The 18,094-nt window shown below is 38.7% G+C and overlaps 1 protein-coding gene across 1 annotated transcript in view; it reads left to right on the top strand.

Moving 5' to 3' along the window:
- USP26 (ubiquitin specific peptidase 26) overlaps positions 1 to 17,431 on the top strand; it is a 73,942-nt gene extending 56,511 nt beyond the window's left edge. Inside the window, exon 6 of the mRNA NM_031907.3 lies at positions 12,303 to 17,431. Within this exon, the coding sequence (NP_114113.1) occupies positions 12,379 to 15,120 (2,742 nt within the window). The 5' untranslated portion in view covers positions 12,303 to 12,378 and the 3' untranslated portion in view covers positions 15,121 to 17,431. The remainder of the gene's footprint in view (positions 1 to 12,302) is intronic.
- The last annotated feature ends 663 nt before the right edge of the window (positions 17,432 to 18,094 follow it).

Below are 18,094 nucleotides of genomic sequence, written 5' to 3'. Positions count from 1 at the left end.
TCAGGTCATCTACAAAGGGAACCCCATCAGACTAACAGCAAATCTCTCTACAGAAACCCTACAAGCCAGAAAAGAGTAGGGGCCAATATTCAACATTCTTAAACAAAAGAACTTTCAACCCAGAATTTCATATCCAGCCAAACTAAGGTTCACCAGTGAAGGAGAAATAAAATCCTTTCCAGACAAGCAAATGCTGAGGGATTTTGTCACCACCAGGCCTGCATTACAAGAGCTCCTGAAGGAAGCACTAAATATGGAAGGAAAAACCGGTACCAGCCACTGCAAAAACACACCAAAATATAAAGACTAATGATACTGTGAAGAAACTGCATCAACTAATGTGCAAAATAACCAGCTAGCATTATGATAATAGGATCAAATTCAAACATAACAATATTAACCTTAAACGTAAATGGGCTAAATGCTCCAATTAAAAGACACAGACTGGCAAATTGTATAAAGAGTCAAGATCGTTCAGTGTGCTGTATTCAAGAGGCACATCTCACATGCAAAGACACACATAGGCTCGAAATAAAGAGGTGGAGGAATATTTACCAAGCAAATGGAAAGCAAAAAAAAGCAGGAGTTGCAATCTTAGTCTCTGATAAAACAGACTTTAAACCAACAAAGATCAAAAAAGGCAAAGAAGGGCATTACATAATGGTAAAGGGATCAATGCAACAAGAAGAACTAACTATCCTAAATGTATATGCACCCGATACAGGAGCACCCAGATTCATAAAAAAAGTTCTTAGAGACCTACAAAGACACATATACTCCCACACAATAATAGTGGGAGACTTTAACACACCACTGTCGATATTAGACGGATCAATGAAACAGAAAATTAACAAGGATATTTAGGACTTGAACTCAGCTCTGGACCAAGCAGACCTAATAGATATCTACAGAACTCTCCACCCCAAATCAACAGAATATACATTCCTCTCAGCACCACAAAGCACATATTCTCCTTTCAGCACCACAAAGCACATATTCTAAATTTGACCACATAATTGGAAGTAAAACACTCCTCAGCAAGTGCAAAATAATGGAAATCAAACAAACAGCCTCTCAGACCACAGTGCAATCAAATTAGAACTCAGGATTAAGAAACTCACTCAAAACCACACAACTGCATGGAAACAGAACAACCTGCTTCTGAATGACTACTGAGTAAATAACACATTTAAGACAGAAATAACGAAGTCCTTTGAAACCAAGGAGAACAAAGAGACAATGTAACAGAATCTCTGGGACACAGCTAAAGCAGTGTTTAGAGGGAAATTTATAGCACGAAATGCCCACATCAGAAAGCAGGAAAGATCTAAAATTGACACCCTAACATCACAATTAAAAGAACTAGAGAAGGAAGAGCAAACAAATTCAAAAGCTAGCAGAAGACAAGAAATAACTAAGATTAGAGAAGAACTGAAAGAGATAGAGACACGAAAAACTGTTAAAAAAAATCAATGAGTCCAGGAGCTGGTTTTTTGAAAAGATTAACAAAAATAGGTAGACCAATAGTCAGACTAATAAAGAAGAAAAGAGAGAATAATCAAGTAGATGCAATAAAAATGATAAAGGGGCTGTCACCACTGACCCCACAGAAATACAAACTACCATCAGAGAATACTATAAACACCTCTACACAGATAAACTAGAAAATCTAGAAGAAACGGATACATTCCTGGACACATACACCCTCCCAAGACTAAACCAGGAAGAAGTCAAATCCCTGAATAGACCAAAAACAAGTTCTGAAATTGAGGCAGTAATTAAAAGCCTACCAACCAAAAACAGCCCAGGACCACATGGATTCACAGCCAAATTCTACCAGAGGTACAAAGAGGAGCTGGTATCATTCCTTCTGAAACTATTCCAAACAATAGAAAAAGAGGGACTACTCCCTAACTCATTTTATGAGGCCAGCATCATCCTGATTCCAAAACCTGGCAGAGACAACAAAAAAGAAAATTTCAGGACAGTATCACTGATGAACATCAATGTAAAAATCCTCAACAAAATACTGGCAAACTGAATCCAGCAGCTCATCAAAAAGCTTATCTACCACAATCAAGCCGGCTTCGTCCCTGGGATGCAAGACTGGTTAAACATATGCAAATCAATAAACTTAATCCATCACATAAACAGAACCAATGACAAAAACCACATGATTATCTCAATGGATGCGGAAAAGGCCTTCAATAAAATTCAACACCCCTTCATGCTAAAATCTCTCAATAAACTAGGTATTGATGCAACATATCTCAAAATAATAAGAGCTATTTATTGACAAACCCATAGCCAATATCATACTGAATGGGCAAAAGCTGGAAACATTCCCTTTGAAAACCAGCAGAAGACAAGGATGCCCTCTCTCACCACTCCTATTCAACATAGTATTGGAAGTTCTGGCCAGAGCAATCAGGCAAGAGAAAGAAATAAAGGGCATTCAAATAGGAAGAGAAGAATTCAAATTGTCTCTGTTTGCAGACATGATTGTATATTTAGAAAACCCCATTTTCTCAGCCCCAAATCTCCTTAAGCTAATAAACAACTTCAGCAAATTCTTAGGATACAAAATGAATGTGCTAAAATCACAAGCATTCCTATACACCAATAATAGACAAGCAGAGAGCCAAATCATGAGTAAACTCCCATTCACAATTGCTACAAAGAAAATACCTAGGAATACAACTTACAAGGACATGAAGGACCTCTTCAAGGAGAACTACAAACCACTGTTCAAGGAAATCAGAGAGGACACAAACAAATGGAAAAAAAATTCCATGTTCATGGATAGGAAGAATCAGTATGAACATGACCATACTGCCCAAAGTAATTTATAGATTCAATGCTATTCCCATCAAGCTACCATTTAGTTTTTCACATAACTAGAAAAAACTTCCTTAAACTTCATATGGAACCAAAAAAGAGCCCATATAGCTAAGACAATCCTGAGCAAAAAGAACAATGCTGGAGGCATCATGCTACCTGAGTTCAAACTATACTACAAGGCTACAGTAACCAAAACAGCATGGTACTGGTACCAAAACAGATATATAGACCAGTGGAACAAAACAGAGTCTTCAGAAATAACAGCACACATCTACAACCATCTGATCTTCACCAAACCTGACAAAAACAAACAATGGGGAAAGGATTCCCTATTTAACAAATGGTGTTAGGAAAACTGGCTAGCCATATGCAGAAAACAGAAACTGGAGCCTCTTCTTACCTCTTAAACAAAAATTAACTCAAGATGGATTAAAGACTTAAATGTAAAACCTAAAACTATAAAAACCCTAGAAGAAAACCTAGGCAATACCATTCAGGACATAGGTATGGGCGAAGACTTCATGACTAAAACACCAAAAGCAATTGCAACAAAAGCCAAAATTGACAAATGGGATCTAATTAAACTAAAGTGCTTCTGCTCAGCAAAAGAATTTATCCTCAGAGTGAACAGGCAACCTACCAAATGGGAGAAATTTTTTGCAATCTATCCATCTGACAAAAGTCTAATATCCAGAATCTACAAAGAACTTAAACAAATTTACAAGAAAAAAACAACCCCATCAAAAAGTGCGTGAAGGATATAAACAGATACTCCTCAAAAGAAGACATTTATGTGGCCAACAAACGTATGAATAAAAGCTTGTCATCACTGGTCATTAGAGAAATGCAAATCAAAACCACAGTGAGATACAATCTTACGCCAGTTAGAATGTGATCATTAAAAAGTCTGGAAACAACAGATGCTGTCAAGGATGCAGAGAAATAGGAACGCTTTTACACTGTTATTGGGAGTGTGAACTAGTTCAACCATTGTGGAAGACAGTGTGGCAATTCCTCAAGGATCTAGAACCAGAAATACCATTTGACCTGGCAATCCCATTACTGGGTATAGACCCAAAGAATTATAAATCATTCTACTATAAAGACACATGCACATGTGTGTTTATTGCAGCACTATTTACAATAGCAAAGACTTGGAACCAGCCCAAATGCCCTTCGATGACTGAATGAATAAAGAAAATGTGGCACATATACACCATGGAATACCGTGCAGCCATAAAAAAGAATGAGTTCATGTCCTTTGCAGGGACATGGATGAAGCTGGAAACCATCATCCTCAGCAAACTAACACAGGAACAGAAAACCAAACACCGCATGTTCTCACTCATAAGTGGGAGCTGAACAATGAGCTGAACACATGGACACAGGGAGAGGAACATCATACACCAGGGCCTGCTGGTGGGTGGGGGGAAAGGGGAGGAAGAGCATTAGGAGAAATACCTAATGCATATGGAGCTTAAAACCTAGATGATGGGTTCATAGGTGTAGCAAACGACCATGGCACATGTATACCTATGTAACAAACCTGCACATTCAGCACATGTATCCCAGAACTTAAAGAAAAAAAACCTTAAAAAAATGAGCTTCTTCAACTGGTACATATATATATATATAATTTTTTTTAGAGGGTCTTGCTCTGTCACCCAGGCTGGAGTGCAATGGCATGATCACAGCTCACTGTAGCCTCCACCTCCTGGGTTCAAGCAATCCTCCTGTCTCGGCCCACATTTTTGTATTTTTTGTAGAGACGGGGTCTTACCATGTTGCCCAGCCTGGTCTCAAACTCTTGGGCTCAAGTGGTCCACCTGCCTTGGCCTCCCAAAGTGCTGGGATTACAGGCATGAGCCACCGCACTCAGCCTCAACTGGTACTTTAAAGCTGGAATCATTTGATGATTTCTGTTCTGCTGTGATTCTCCTCTACTTTGGGACAGAATTGCTTTATCTCTTGTTTCTACTCTTTACCTGCTGATCCATTATTGTGGATATTTGCTTAAAAGGTCTGTAAGATTTGGATGTCTCATTTGGAAAAGACAAGGGAAAGAAAGGAAATGAGAGAAAAAGCCTAAGAAATGCAAGTTGATTCTCCATCCAGATGAGACAGGAAAAAAATAATAATAATAAAGGAGGCAGGTGGGATGTTGGCTAAATTAGTCTCCACAGATGAAAAAAATATGGACAAAACATTTTTATTTAGCACCACATGTGTTTGTGGTTTTAGCTCCCCAATGTTTTCTGTCATAATAGGCTCTAAAAGCTGGTTCTGTCATGGGAGGCATTACCAAATTCTTTGGAAACTCTTCCCCTTGGGACCAACACTTAGTACCATTCTTTGATAAGGTGAGGTCTCCAGCTAATCTTTTGTGATTTCCCCCTTATTTTCTGCTCTCCTGCAGTGTGTCCAAAAGAGCCTCTTTCTTGCAGGATCACATTTTTCCAGCAAATAATTCCTTTGGATGATTTTCTTGTAATCCAGTTATCTCCCACTTAGTACATAGAATCTTGTACCATTTCTTCTCCAAATAGAGGGAGTAGAACTTGCTTTCACTTTTGCCTCCTTTTGCCATGTCATGTGGGATTCTTTCAGTATCATGACTTAACCAGTTTCAGTCAGGCACCAGTGTTTTTGCCCCTCTAACTCCAGAGTAAAGATGTCAGATTTTCCCATGACTCTCATACTCTACTATCAGTGTAGCTTACAGATTTTGGCTTCTCAGTGAGTATCCAGCCAGGGTGTAAGATGCAGTCTGAAATCTTTTGTAAATGATTTTCCAATTTTACTACCCCTTCCCCTACTTGACTTGGACATGGGAATCGGGGAAATGCCACAGTGTTCTCTATTAATGAATTTCCTTACTTTAAATATTTTTTTTTTTTGTAAGAGACATGGTCTTGCTCTATTGCCAGGTTGGCACTATCACAGCTCACTGTAGTCTTGAGCTCCTGAGCTCAAGAGATCCTCCCACCTCGGTCTCCCAAAGTGCTGGGATTACAGGCATGAGCCACCATGCCCAGCCTTCTTTAAATAATCTTTGATAACTATATTCTTCACATGTATGGTAATTCTTGTGCAGTGTATTATAGTTCTTGTTACTCAGTTTTGCATCTTTGCCAGTATCATGAGACAAGAAGAAAAGTCTCATTTTATAGGTCCTTTAAAAATGATCAAAGATACTGATTGTTAGAAAGATTTATAGTTTTCAACTATGTAGGACACAAACTTAATAGAATAATTGCTTCATTAAAGTGTGTATGCATTTAAAATTTGATAGATTGAGGTGTACATCTGTTTAGTCTCCTGTCTTATTTAACCTTGCCTTCATGTCATAGTCAGCTTGATGTTCCCATAACAGTTCTAGCCCATTAATTTCATCTTTTCCTGACCCGTCAGCCCTTATTTTAAAACTTTAGATGCTGTTTTCCTCAGGAAAGTTAAGATTCTTTGGTCCTAGCCCTTAAAGGGGTCCTACTTCTCCAACTTTATGGTTTCTCTCGGCAAAGGAAAATTTGGCTGCACACACGCACTGAAAATAAATTTATCCTCTGATAGCTATTAACTTTGTGGTCGGGTAATATAAGCAGCATTGCAGGGTATCACAGGCAAAGTAACAGTCTTAGAAAAAGTGAATGATTGGTGAATTCTGAGGCAGGAAAACTCAAACGTGGGAATCATCGAAATAAAGTGTGACTTGAACTGGGTCTTTAGAAATTAAGAAGGATAGAACTAAGACAAAAGTAAGGGAATTATTAGGGAATTCCAGGCAGAGAGGAAATGCTACAAAAAGCTAAGATAGCAGAAAATACATGGACTTTTAGGTAACACTAACTGAATTTTACTTTTTTAATTAAGACATTTTCCGTTGCATGGCCATTGTTTGTATTTATCTTAAAACCCGAGGTCAGGAATATTTTACTGCTTCATGTTTGGATATGGACCATAGTTAATGTCCATAGTTGACTAGGTATCAACATATTTTGGTTAGTAAGTGAATAAACAAATGAATTGCAATAGTTAGCAGAAAGGGCTGCAAAATACTAGGAAGATTCCAACAGGAGAAGAAGGATTAATTTCAAGAAAACCTCATTTATCATTATTTCAGTGTAACAAATACATGCTTTCTTATGAAACAGCACTCTTTCTTAATGAATTCATATTTAAATTTTGGAAAATAATCTTTGCATTCTGTTTTCCTAATCAACTATGTTGTATTAATAGCACTAGCATAATTTTAAAAGAATGAAAAAAATGCTCTGCCAAATCTGTCCCTCAGAAAGGGTTCAAACTTGAATAGTTCATGGGAACAATTTGCTAGTCTAGAGAATTCTTCCCATTTTGGTCAGGGCCTCCTATGGAGAGATTTATGTGCAGTGTATGTCAAGAGACAAAATAATGGCATTTCTCTGCAACACAATGACTCGGACGTTTGTTGAGTACAGAAATGCACCTTTAAACTAGAGAAAGAAAAAGAAAGTCTGCCCTGATCCAATCATTTTGAAAAGCCATGCACACTGAAGCTGGGACCAAACATAATAACAGGATTTAATTGCTAATGCTCTAGAGGCAGTGTGTCTCTTGATGTGTTGACCTTTAACCCAAACTTGGGAGGGTAAAAAAAAGGGAGGGGAGGATTTCCTTTCCCCTTCTGCCTGCTGTCCCCGACTCCCTGCATCTGATCATGTCTGTCTCTAACGCAGTCTACGTGCCCCTAACATTCAACTCTCCACTTCCATTTCCATTAGTTACTTCCAGCTTTGGAGCCGGGATGAGAATGAATAGAAGAACAGAAAGGAAGGTGGGAGGAGAATAGGAGAAGAAAGTCTGCAAGCAGTTGACAGCTGCTTAGAATCAGGGGATGGAATTGTAGCTGCTGAAATGAGAGCTGGACACCTACTCCCCTGATGCTTCTCCCCTACTCCGTAGTATTTTGTGATATTTAGGCCTTTTCATGTGTTTCTGTTCATTGTTCCATTCCACCCTTTCTGGGTCCGTACTTATAATCATTTTTTTCTCTACACCTTCAGCTCCCATTTTCCTCTTACTCGGTTACTTATGAATGGCAAAATTTCAAGCAAGTTAAATTCAAGGCTCTGCCTATTACACACCTGAACCATGGCAACTAGACAGCTAAACGTGGCTGGAGAAAAAATATGCAGATTGGTCTTGCTGTAAATATATGACTATTAGCCTAAGTCAGCCCTTGGTGCTACTCAGCAAGGTTACTAGTCCATTCAGTCTCCCGCTCTTTTACAAAACTTCCACAACTTCTTTCTCTTCAATTCTTTTACCATGCTCCAGTCATGCTGGCCTGCTTTCTGTTTCCAACATGCCAAGTCCATTCCCACCTGAGGACCTTTTCATTTACTCTTCCTCCTGCCTGGGGCACCCTACATTTAGGTATTTGTTCACTTCCTTCAACACCCTGCTGCATATTGTCATCACGTGTTAGGCCTTCCCAGAACCCCCTATATAAGGCAGCACATCCCCATCACCACTGACAAATTCAGTTCCTCTAACTTTGGGTTTTTGTTTGTTTGTTTGGTTGGTTGGTTGGTTGGTTGGTTGGTTGGGTTTTTTTCTTTTGCTTTTTTGAGACAGAGTTTCGCTCTGTTGCCCAGGCTAGAGTGCAGTGGCATGAACTCGGCGCACTGCAACCTCCGTTTCCCAGGTTCAAGTGATTCTCCTGCCTCAGCCTCCCGAGTAGCTGGATATAAACAGACACAGGCCACCATGCCTGGCTAATTTTTGTATTTTTAGTAGAGACAGGATTTCGCCATGTTGACCAGGCTGGTCTCAAACTCCTGACCTGAGGTGATCCATCTGCCTCAGCCTCCCCAAATTCTGGGATTACAGGCATGAGCCACTGTACCTAGCCTCCTCTAACTTTGTTTTCTTTAGCAGTTGCCACCATCTGGTGTTCTCCATATTTTGTGTGTATGTACTGTATTTTCTATCCCCCTGCTAGAATTAAAATTTTTCGAGAGCATGGATTTTGTGGGGTTTTTTCATTCTTCTATACCTAAAGCTTAATGTAATGCTTTCTAGTACTCCATACATATTTATTTAATGAATGAATGGATGCTTGCTGGCTTTTGAATATCTTCTATTCCCAATTGCCAAACCTAGAATATCCCTTCCCTACCCATCCTCCCATGTTTTTTTGTATTGTGCCCCTGGTATGCAAGTCCAGATTTAGTGCATACCATCTAACTGTTGGAGAAAGTATCTTTTATTTGGCCTGTCTTAAGAAATCCAATGTAAGTATTTTGTACTTAGAAGTATAGTCTCACAGAATGGAGTCCTCAAAGAGAGTTCTATGATCATTTCCCGATTTGTTTAATGGGCCCTAATAGAGGAATTGGCTTATCCAAGATCACTAAGCTAAGTGTAGTTTAAAATAAATGTGAGTTGAAGTTGTTTTGCTTTTCAAAACTCTTGCTTGGGATTATTGGAGATACCCAGAAATGGTTAGAAACTCATATAGTCATTACCTGGCTCCGTCTTTCCACTTACTGCATTCATGGGTTGGCACACCACCTCATGGGTACTTCATTTTTATTCCGTGAGATTTGCTTAGGTAACTTAGCGGGATTTCTCAGTATATCTTTGTTCTCTTCACATGTTTTCATGAAGTTGTGAAAAAATGATAATTAAAACACACACCACCTGTACCACACTGCCATATATCTTGACCTTAACCTATTCAGTAAGATAAACACATACTCGATTTTATATAATTGATGACAGTCTGTACTCATGTCAGCAGAGGAGAACTGACCTAGAAATGTTAGTTTCTCATAGTCATTGAGCCTAACGACCCTTCTAGAGGTTATTAATCTGCCTCCAGGCCATAGCTCCCTCTAAACTTTTCAAAACAAATGGTTCTCTTCTTAAAGCATCATCCATTTCACCAAAATACTTGAAAGAAAATAATTTTTGTCTCGTTTTCTTATTTTTATTACTCTTTGGTAATGTACACTTTGGGATTGAGAAATGCAAATTCAGATTTGAAAGGTATATACGGATTTGTCTTCAAGTTCTTCTACCTCTTGAAATAATGAAAGCCTGAGTGGTGTGAGATATAAATGGAGGATACAGAGGGTAAATACTCCAAAAGCAACACAAACCTTCATTAAATTACAGGAGTCCCCTCTTTTATTGTGACGATTACACAGTGATGTTTAGAGTCTAAATCATTTAGGTACAGTGAATCCTCACATCCATTGTGTCCCTGAGAGCACCGGCTGCAATACCCAACATTGAGCAGATACTCAGCAAATCATAATATGCAGACAGCATAGAGTAGATGCTCAGCAACTGTCTCAGTGAACACGAAGATCAATGTAGAGTGAATTAGTAAATTAATAATGGAGCAGACATTTCTATTAGGGTTTTTTTTTAACTGGACAACCAGCTGCTTGGCACCATAGATCATGCCTCCAAATCTGACAGAAGTGGTACAGTTTTGTGAGTGTCTGGCTATCCTTTGAGTCTGAAGTGTTGCACTAGTGGTTGATCAATCAAATTGAATGGATTGAATTTGTAGGTAAAATGAGAGAAAAGCCTGTTGGCTTTCATAACTTTTGAATGCAGCTGTCATCTATACGTTTTGAATCTGGTGTGGGGGTGAGAAAGGAGGAGGAATGCTGAAGTTTATTTTAGGCTGTATGGAATAGTCACATAGTGCTCTTCAATGGAGTCTTGGAGAAACAATACATTTTAGTTTAAAATACTCTCAAAGCAAGCAATCAAGGCAGAATGAAGAACAGGATTTAAGCTTGAGATGTCTTAGGGATGTAGGCAGTGGTTAGACCACTCAACTTGTACATCAGCAAGATGGTTCTTAACCTTTACTTTCCATGCTCAGTGGGCTCAAATAAGCCTCCTTTCATCTGGAATGAAATGTAGTCAGGATGGACTGTGAGAAAGGAATGTCTCTTAACTGTATTTTTGAGGGCAGAGAGAAGAAATATCAAGAGGGTCTTAGATTATTTCATCTACCAATAGAAAGAAGATAATAATTTTTGATAAATACAGATGAGCTGGGTGCAAAATTTTAAAATAAGCTGCAAGTGGTTCTATGGTTGCAGGTTCTCTCAAGTTGTTGAAATAAAAAGGAACAATTAAGACTGCCTTTTCTGTGGAGAGAAAATTGTTTAAATCCTTACTTAGCATCTATAGTAGGACAGTGAAATAGAAATAATCCAGAGAACTTAAATTTGTGCTGTGCTTGAATGTTTTTATGGCCCCATTTCTACCATGAAAAATATAACCATTCTCTTACTTGGATGCATATGCACTTTCGTATATGGATGGATGCCATCTCTATTTCGCTGAACATAGGTTGATAGATGAAATACTTTATAAAACAAAAATCTCATTAATTTATGTTTCACCAATTTTAAGATTTTGATAATTTGGACAGGGACTGAGCAGAAGTTTCCTTCAGTATTATTCATAAAGATGGGGTTTGCTTAAGCAAGTTAATAGCATAGAGAAGATTCAGGAAGAATATTTAACTACTGAGGAGGAAACAGCTTCCAACTAATTCTTGGATGTATACTTTCTGATGCAAACATTTGTAGTGCTGTCTGCTAACTTATTCAGTAATTCACATTGGCTCCAGAGTTGTTCAGAGATTCTGATTTTCAATAATTAAGTACATCTAATTCTTCCTCACTGGTTTTGAATACAGGGAGCTAGCTCCGGTTAAGTGGGCCTTATAGCCAGAGTTGCCTGCAGGAGCCTCACTAGCCTATATATCTAATGGGTAAGAAGTTGTTATTCTTAAACTTTTGTTGAATGAGCAAGTACAATGTAATGATGTTCCCCAGTGCCAAGTGAAATATAGGAACATAGCTAGATTTGGAGGGAGGTAGACTGGTTTACTTTGAGTGGCCCATATATGAGATCCTCTAGAAATCAAGGAACAATTCATCTGTTACTGAGTTGAGGGCCACATAGTGCCTTCACTTTCTCATTCACTTATTGTAGTTGCCCCATGGGGTCATTCTGTGACAGGAAGATTAGCATATTGTATGCATGCACTTGAGACTCTATTGAGTATACTTTCAGTTATGTACTGAAAGTCTTCCAAGTGTTTCATGATTTCAATTGAAGTTGGGAAATTAATCAGAATGGAGTCCAGTATTTTGGTGGAAACTACATGTAGTGTATGAGTGTAGAGTTTGAGTTTTGTTGAAGCAAAGCATTTCTGTAATAGTTTAAAGAATGTTTCCTGATTTTTGCCATAGTGTGCTTGTCTTGGGAATCAAGACTCTGCCTTCATGCAGCCATGGAAGGCTCTCAAAAGGCATTGGTCTCGTTACTGAAGAGCTGGATATCTAGAACCTGAACTAGACTCTAGTATAAAACCAATACTAGAAATAGGATCATTCTGTGTAGAGAACTAATGAACTATTTCTTTGGTGTTGTCTTCACAGCTGAACTTGCAAAACAGATTGGAACTTCAAGATTATCAATAATCGGAGATACGTATATTTTATTTGTAAAGAAAACATGGCTGCCCTATTCCTACGTGGTTTTGTCCAAATAGGGAACTGCAAGACTGGGATATCTAAGTCAAAAGAAGCATTCATTGAAGCAGTGGAAAGAAAGAAGAAAGATAGACTGGTGCTGTATTTCAAAAGTGGAAAATATAGCACTTTTCGGCTAAGTGATAATATTCAAAATGTAGTCCTTAAATCCTATAGAGGAAACCAAAATCACCTGCATTTAACTTTACAAAATAATAATGGCTTGTTTATTGAAGGATTATCCTCCACAGATGCTGAACAATTGAAGATATTCTTGGACAGAGTTCATCAAAACGAGGTTCAGCCACCTGTGAGACCTGGTAAGGGTGGGAGTGTCTTTTCTAGCACAACACAGAAGGAAATCAACAAAACTTCATTCCACAAAGTTGATGAGAAATCAAGTAGCAAATCTTTTGAGATAGCAAAAGGAAGTGGGACAGGTGTCCTTCAGAGGATGCCTTTGCTTACATCAAAATTGACACTTACTTGCGGAGAGTTATCAGAAAATCAGCACAAGAAGAGGAAAAGAATGCTCTCATCTAGCTCAGAGATGAATGAGGAATTCTTGAAAGAAAATAATTCTGTAGAATACAAGAAATCCAAGGCAGATTGTTCGAGGTGTGTAAGCTATAATCGAGAGAAACAATTGAAGTTAAAAGAGTTAGAAGAGAATAAGAAATTGGAATGTGAATCTTCATGCATCATGAACGCCACTGGAAATCCTTACCTAGATGACATTGGTCTTCTCCAAGCTCTCACTGAGAAAATGGTTTTGGTATTTCTGTTACAACAAGGGTATAGTGACGGTTACACAAAGTGGGATAAATTAAAACTATTTTTTGAATTATTTCCAGAGAAAATATGCCACGGCCTCCCCAATTTGGGAAACACCTGTTATATGAATGCAGTGTTACAGTCTCTACTTTCAATCCCATCGTTTGCTGATGATTTACTTAATCAGAGTTTCCCATGGGGTAAAATTCCCCTTAATGCTCTTACCATGTGCTTGGCACGGCTACTTTTTTTTAAAGATACCTATAATATAGAAATCAAGGAGATGTTACTCTTGAATCTTAAAAAGGCCATTTCAGCAGCTGCAGAGATATTCCATGGCAATGCACAGAACGATGCTCATGAGTTTTTAGCTCACTGTTTAGATCAACTGAAAGATAACATGGAAAAACTCAACACAATTTGGAAGCCTAAAAGTGAATTTGGGGAAGATAATTTTCCTAAACAGGTTTTTGCTGATGATCCTGACACCAGTGGGTTTTCTTGCCCTGTCATTACTAATTTTGAGTTAGAGTTGTTGCACTCCATTGCTTGTAAAGCTTGTGGTCAGGTTATTCTCAAGACAGAACTGAATAATTACCTCTCCATCAACCTTCCCCAAAGAATAAAAGCACATCCTTCATCTATTCAGTCTACTTTTGATCTTTTTTTTGGAGCAGAAGAGCTTGAGTATAAATGTGCAAAATGTGAGCACAAGACTTCCGTTGGAGTGCACTCATTCAGTAGGCTACCTAGAATCCTTATTGTTCACCTCAAACGCTATAGCTTGAATGAGTTTTGTGCATTAAAGAAGAATGACCAGGAAGTCATCATTTCCAAATATTTAAAGGTGTCTTCTCATTGCAATGAAGGCACCAGACCACCTCTTCCCTTGAGTGAGGATGGAGAAATTACAGATTTCCAATTATTAAAAGTTATTCGAAAGATGACTTCTGGAAACATCAGTGTATCATGGCCTGCAACAAAGGAATCCAAAGATATCCTGGCTCCACACATTGGATCAGATAAGGAGTCTGAACAAAAAAAAGGCCAGACAGTCTTTAAAGGGGCAAGCAGAAGACAGCAGCAAAAGTACCTTGGAAAAAATTCTAAACCAAATGAGCTAGAATCTGTATACTCAGGAGATCGAGCATTCATTGAAAAAGAACCGTTAGCTCACTTAATGACGTATCTGGAAGATACCTCACTTTGTCAGTTCCACAAAGCTGGAGGTAAACCTGCCAGCAGCCCAGGCACACCTCTCTCAAAAGTTGACTTTCAAACAGTGCCCGAAAATCCAAAACGAAAGAAATATGTGAAAACCAGTAAGTTTGTAGCTTTTGATAGGATTATCAATCCTACTAAAGATTTGTATGAAGATAAAAATATCAGAATTCCAGAAAGATTCCAAAAAGTGTCTGAACAGACTCAGCAGTGTGACGGTATGAGAATCTGTGAACAAGCCCCTCAGCAGGCACTGCCTCAAAGCTTTCCAAAGCCAGGCACCCAGGGGCACACAAAGAACCTCCTAAGACCTACAAAATTAAATCTACAGAAGTCTAACAGGAATTCCCTACTTGCACTGGGTTCCAATAAGAATCCAAGAAACAAAGACATTTTAGATAAGATAAAATCTAAAGCCAAGGAAACAAAAAGAAATGATGATAAGGGAGATCATACCTACCGGCTCATTAGTGTTGTCAGCCATCTTGGGAAGACTCTAAAGTCAGGCCATTATATCTGTGATGCCTATGACTTTGAGAAACAGATCTGGTTCACTTACGATGATATGCGGGTGTTAGGTATCCAGGAGGCCCAGATGCAGGAGGATAGGCGTTGCACTGGGTACATCTTCTTTTACATGCATAATGAGATCTTTGAAGAGATGTTGAAAAGAGAAGAGAATGCCCAGCTTAATAGCAAGGAGGTAGAGGAGACCCTTCAGAAGGAATAAGAGGAACGTACTCCTCCTTGTACAGATCTGCCTGACTGTCTCACTCGATACCACTTCCTCCATGGAAGGAAAACTGTGAACTTTATCCAGAGATGAAAATGCAATTAGTCTAGGACCAAAGGTCAAACAGAAACACTTAATGGGGAGATCTGCATTCTAATCCTGACACAGACACCTCAATCCCATAGCTCTGGCTGATGAGCATCCTTCTCTCCTACAAGACTGAAATTGTGTTTTTCATGTTCTTCTTCATTTTAATATAGTCAGGGTCTTGCTCTGTCATCCTGGCTAGAGTGCAGTCCTTCAATAATAACTCACTGCAGCCTCAAACTCCTGGCATCAAGCGATTCTCTCTCAGCCTCCTGAAAAGAGAGGGACTTATCTTCTTGCTTGAGATGGGACTATAGATGTGTGCCACCAGGCCTAGCTATTTTTTTTTTTTTTTTTGCTTTTTGCAGAGACAGGGTCTCACTATGCTGCCCAGGTTGGACTTGAACTCCTGGCCTCAAGCAATCTTCCTGCCTCTTTCCATGTTCTAATACAGTGGTTTAAAAAGTATGCTCCTTAAACTAGCAGCACCAGGAGCATGGGGGTAGTCATTTGAAATGCAAAATCTTGGGTTCCACTGTAGACCTACTGATTCAGAAACTTGGGGTAAGGGATAGCAATCTGATGGAGACCGTGATGCTTGATACAGTTTGAGAACCACTACTGTACTACATACACTACCTTGGTTGTATATTTAAATTGCTTATTTTGTAAAAGGTTTTGATTACATTTTTGTGTTTTTCATATTAATGTATGCCTTGCCTTTGTGAACTTATTAAAAGCCAAACTCACAAAAATCACTTCTGATCATACTCTGCAATTTGGTGGAAAAAAATAGTTGCTGGGATCCTGGCAATAAAAAATGAGGCTGATAACTTTTGAATCCTCTTGGGCATATATAGATGAGGCTAAACGCCAAGTCAAATCTCCAGATTGATTTGCTTTTAAGAAATTGGCCCACATTTCCTGTGTGTCTGCTAGCAAGCTCTTGGCCCTTGGTGGTCTGAGCCCACCTTGCCATGTTAGTTTTCTTAGAGGGGCACTTTCATTGCCTCAGAGGAACTTTGTTTACCTGGACTTCATCTGCGAAACCTTGAACAATCCTCTGCATTCAACATTACATGACTAATTCCAGATTTTTTTTTTTTTTTTACATCTCTGTACCTTATAGTGTGGTGGTCTTGTTTCTTCAATGAGTAAGCAATATATGCTTTAAAGTGGACTTGTAGAATTTGAAAGTATTACTTGTTACTTATTTGACACAACATCAGAAACTCCATATGAAGATGTTCTGCTTCTGGGGAAAGATGCATGGATCCTAGGGTGGTCATATTTCATTAAAATCCAGGGGATTTAATAATTTTGCCATCAAGCATGTGCCACCACTATTATCATAACCTTTTCCTGCCTTTGAGGCAGTGAATCTGTTGTACTTTGTGCCTTTGCTGTGAACAAATGACTTGTACTAAGAGGTTTTCTCACATAACATAGGATTGAATTTTCAGTCACACCTTTACCAATAGGAATATGCCCCCTTGTATATGGGGTATGGCTTCAGTATAGTTGTATTAATCCAAGAGCTTGTTGATGCTCTTAAGCCTAGGGTCCTTTAAAATAGGTGAGTTGGATTTTAGTGATGTGGGGAAGTTATTAGTAGGTAATACCCTGTAAGAGGAAAACCAGATTCCAAAGTTTGGAGATTGTATTCAGAACACAGTTTATCTAGAAGGAGGTCTTATGAGACCTGAAGATTGCTAAGGTATATAGGAGGGAATATCATAGATTGAATTGATCACTCTTAGGGAAGAAGGTGTTACAGACACAATGAGTGATTGTTCAACTTCTGTAGTACTTCAGCAGCTGAAGGATAAGGCTGGAGTTGCATTTAGAGGAGAGTGACAGTTTGGTTTCTAAATTTCAGTTTTTTGGCCTCTAGAGTAGTTTATGTTGAGCCCAGTTACATAGATATCAGAACAGGATTTTGGTAAGAATGAAGGAAAGTTGTTTTGTTTTGAAAGGAGTGTGAAGATGCTAATAACTTGATATTTTAGTACAGAGTTTACATCCTGGTCATGCTGCTCTTCAGCATGTAGCACTTCCAAATGCAGGGCAAAATGAAATGTGAAGAAGATGGTAGGGGTATCCATGACAGGGAGGATCATGGCTGCAATCCATTGTTGCCCTGTGAGAAGAAATTCTGAATGCACTATGAATGCTTGTATAGTATCTACATGGTATGTTTTCAAATAAAAGATTAAAAGTTGTTAAGTGACTCAGTGACTATTATGTATATAAATTTGTTCTCTTAATTTATGGGTCAAGTTTTCAAGTAATCCATGGAAATAAAAGTTTGACTTTCAGTGTGTTCATTTCCTATTGCTTCTGTAACATATTACTACAGAAGCTTATAACAACATAGTTTTTTAAATCTTACAGTCCTGGAGATTAAGAGTCTAAGATGATTATCACTTGGCTAAAATGAAGGTGTCAGCGGGGCTGCAATCTTAGATGCTCTGAAGACACAATCTGTTTCTTTGCCTTTTCCAGCTTTCTGGAAGCTGCCTGCATTCCTGGACTCATGGCTTCATTCCTCCATCTTCAAAGTCAGCAATTTTGGATTGAGTTCTCACGCTGCCATCTCTGGTTCTCCCTTTTCTGTCTTCCTTTTCCACTTTTAAGAACCATTGTAATTAGATTGAGCTCACTGAGATAATCCAGGATAATATCCCTATTTTAAATCAGCAGTGTTTTAAAGATTCTATTTATTGAGACAGGGTCTTGCTCTGTTGCCCAGGCTGGAGTGCAGTAGTGCAATCATAGCTCAGTGTAACCTCGAATTCCTGGGCTCAAATGATCCTCCCACCTCAGCCTCCTGAATAGCTAGGACTATAGGTGCTCACCATCACACCTGTTTAATGTGTATGTG

Source organism: Homo sapiens, chromosome X, assembly GCF_000001405.40.
Source record: "Homo sapiens chromosome X, GRCh38.p14 Primary Assembly".
NCBI lineage: Eukaryota > Metazoa > Chordata > Mammalia > Primates > Hominidae > Homo > Homo sapiens.
Note: the sequence above shows the minus strand (reverse complement) of the source record. Positions and strands in the feature narration are given on the sequence as shown.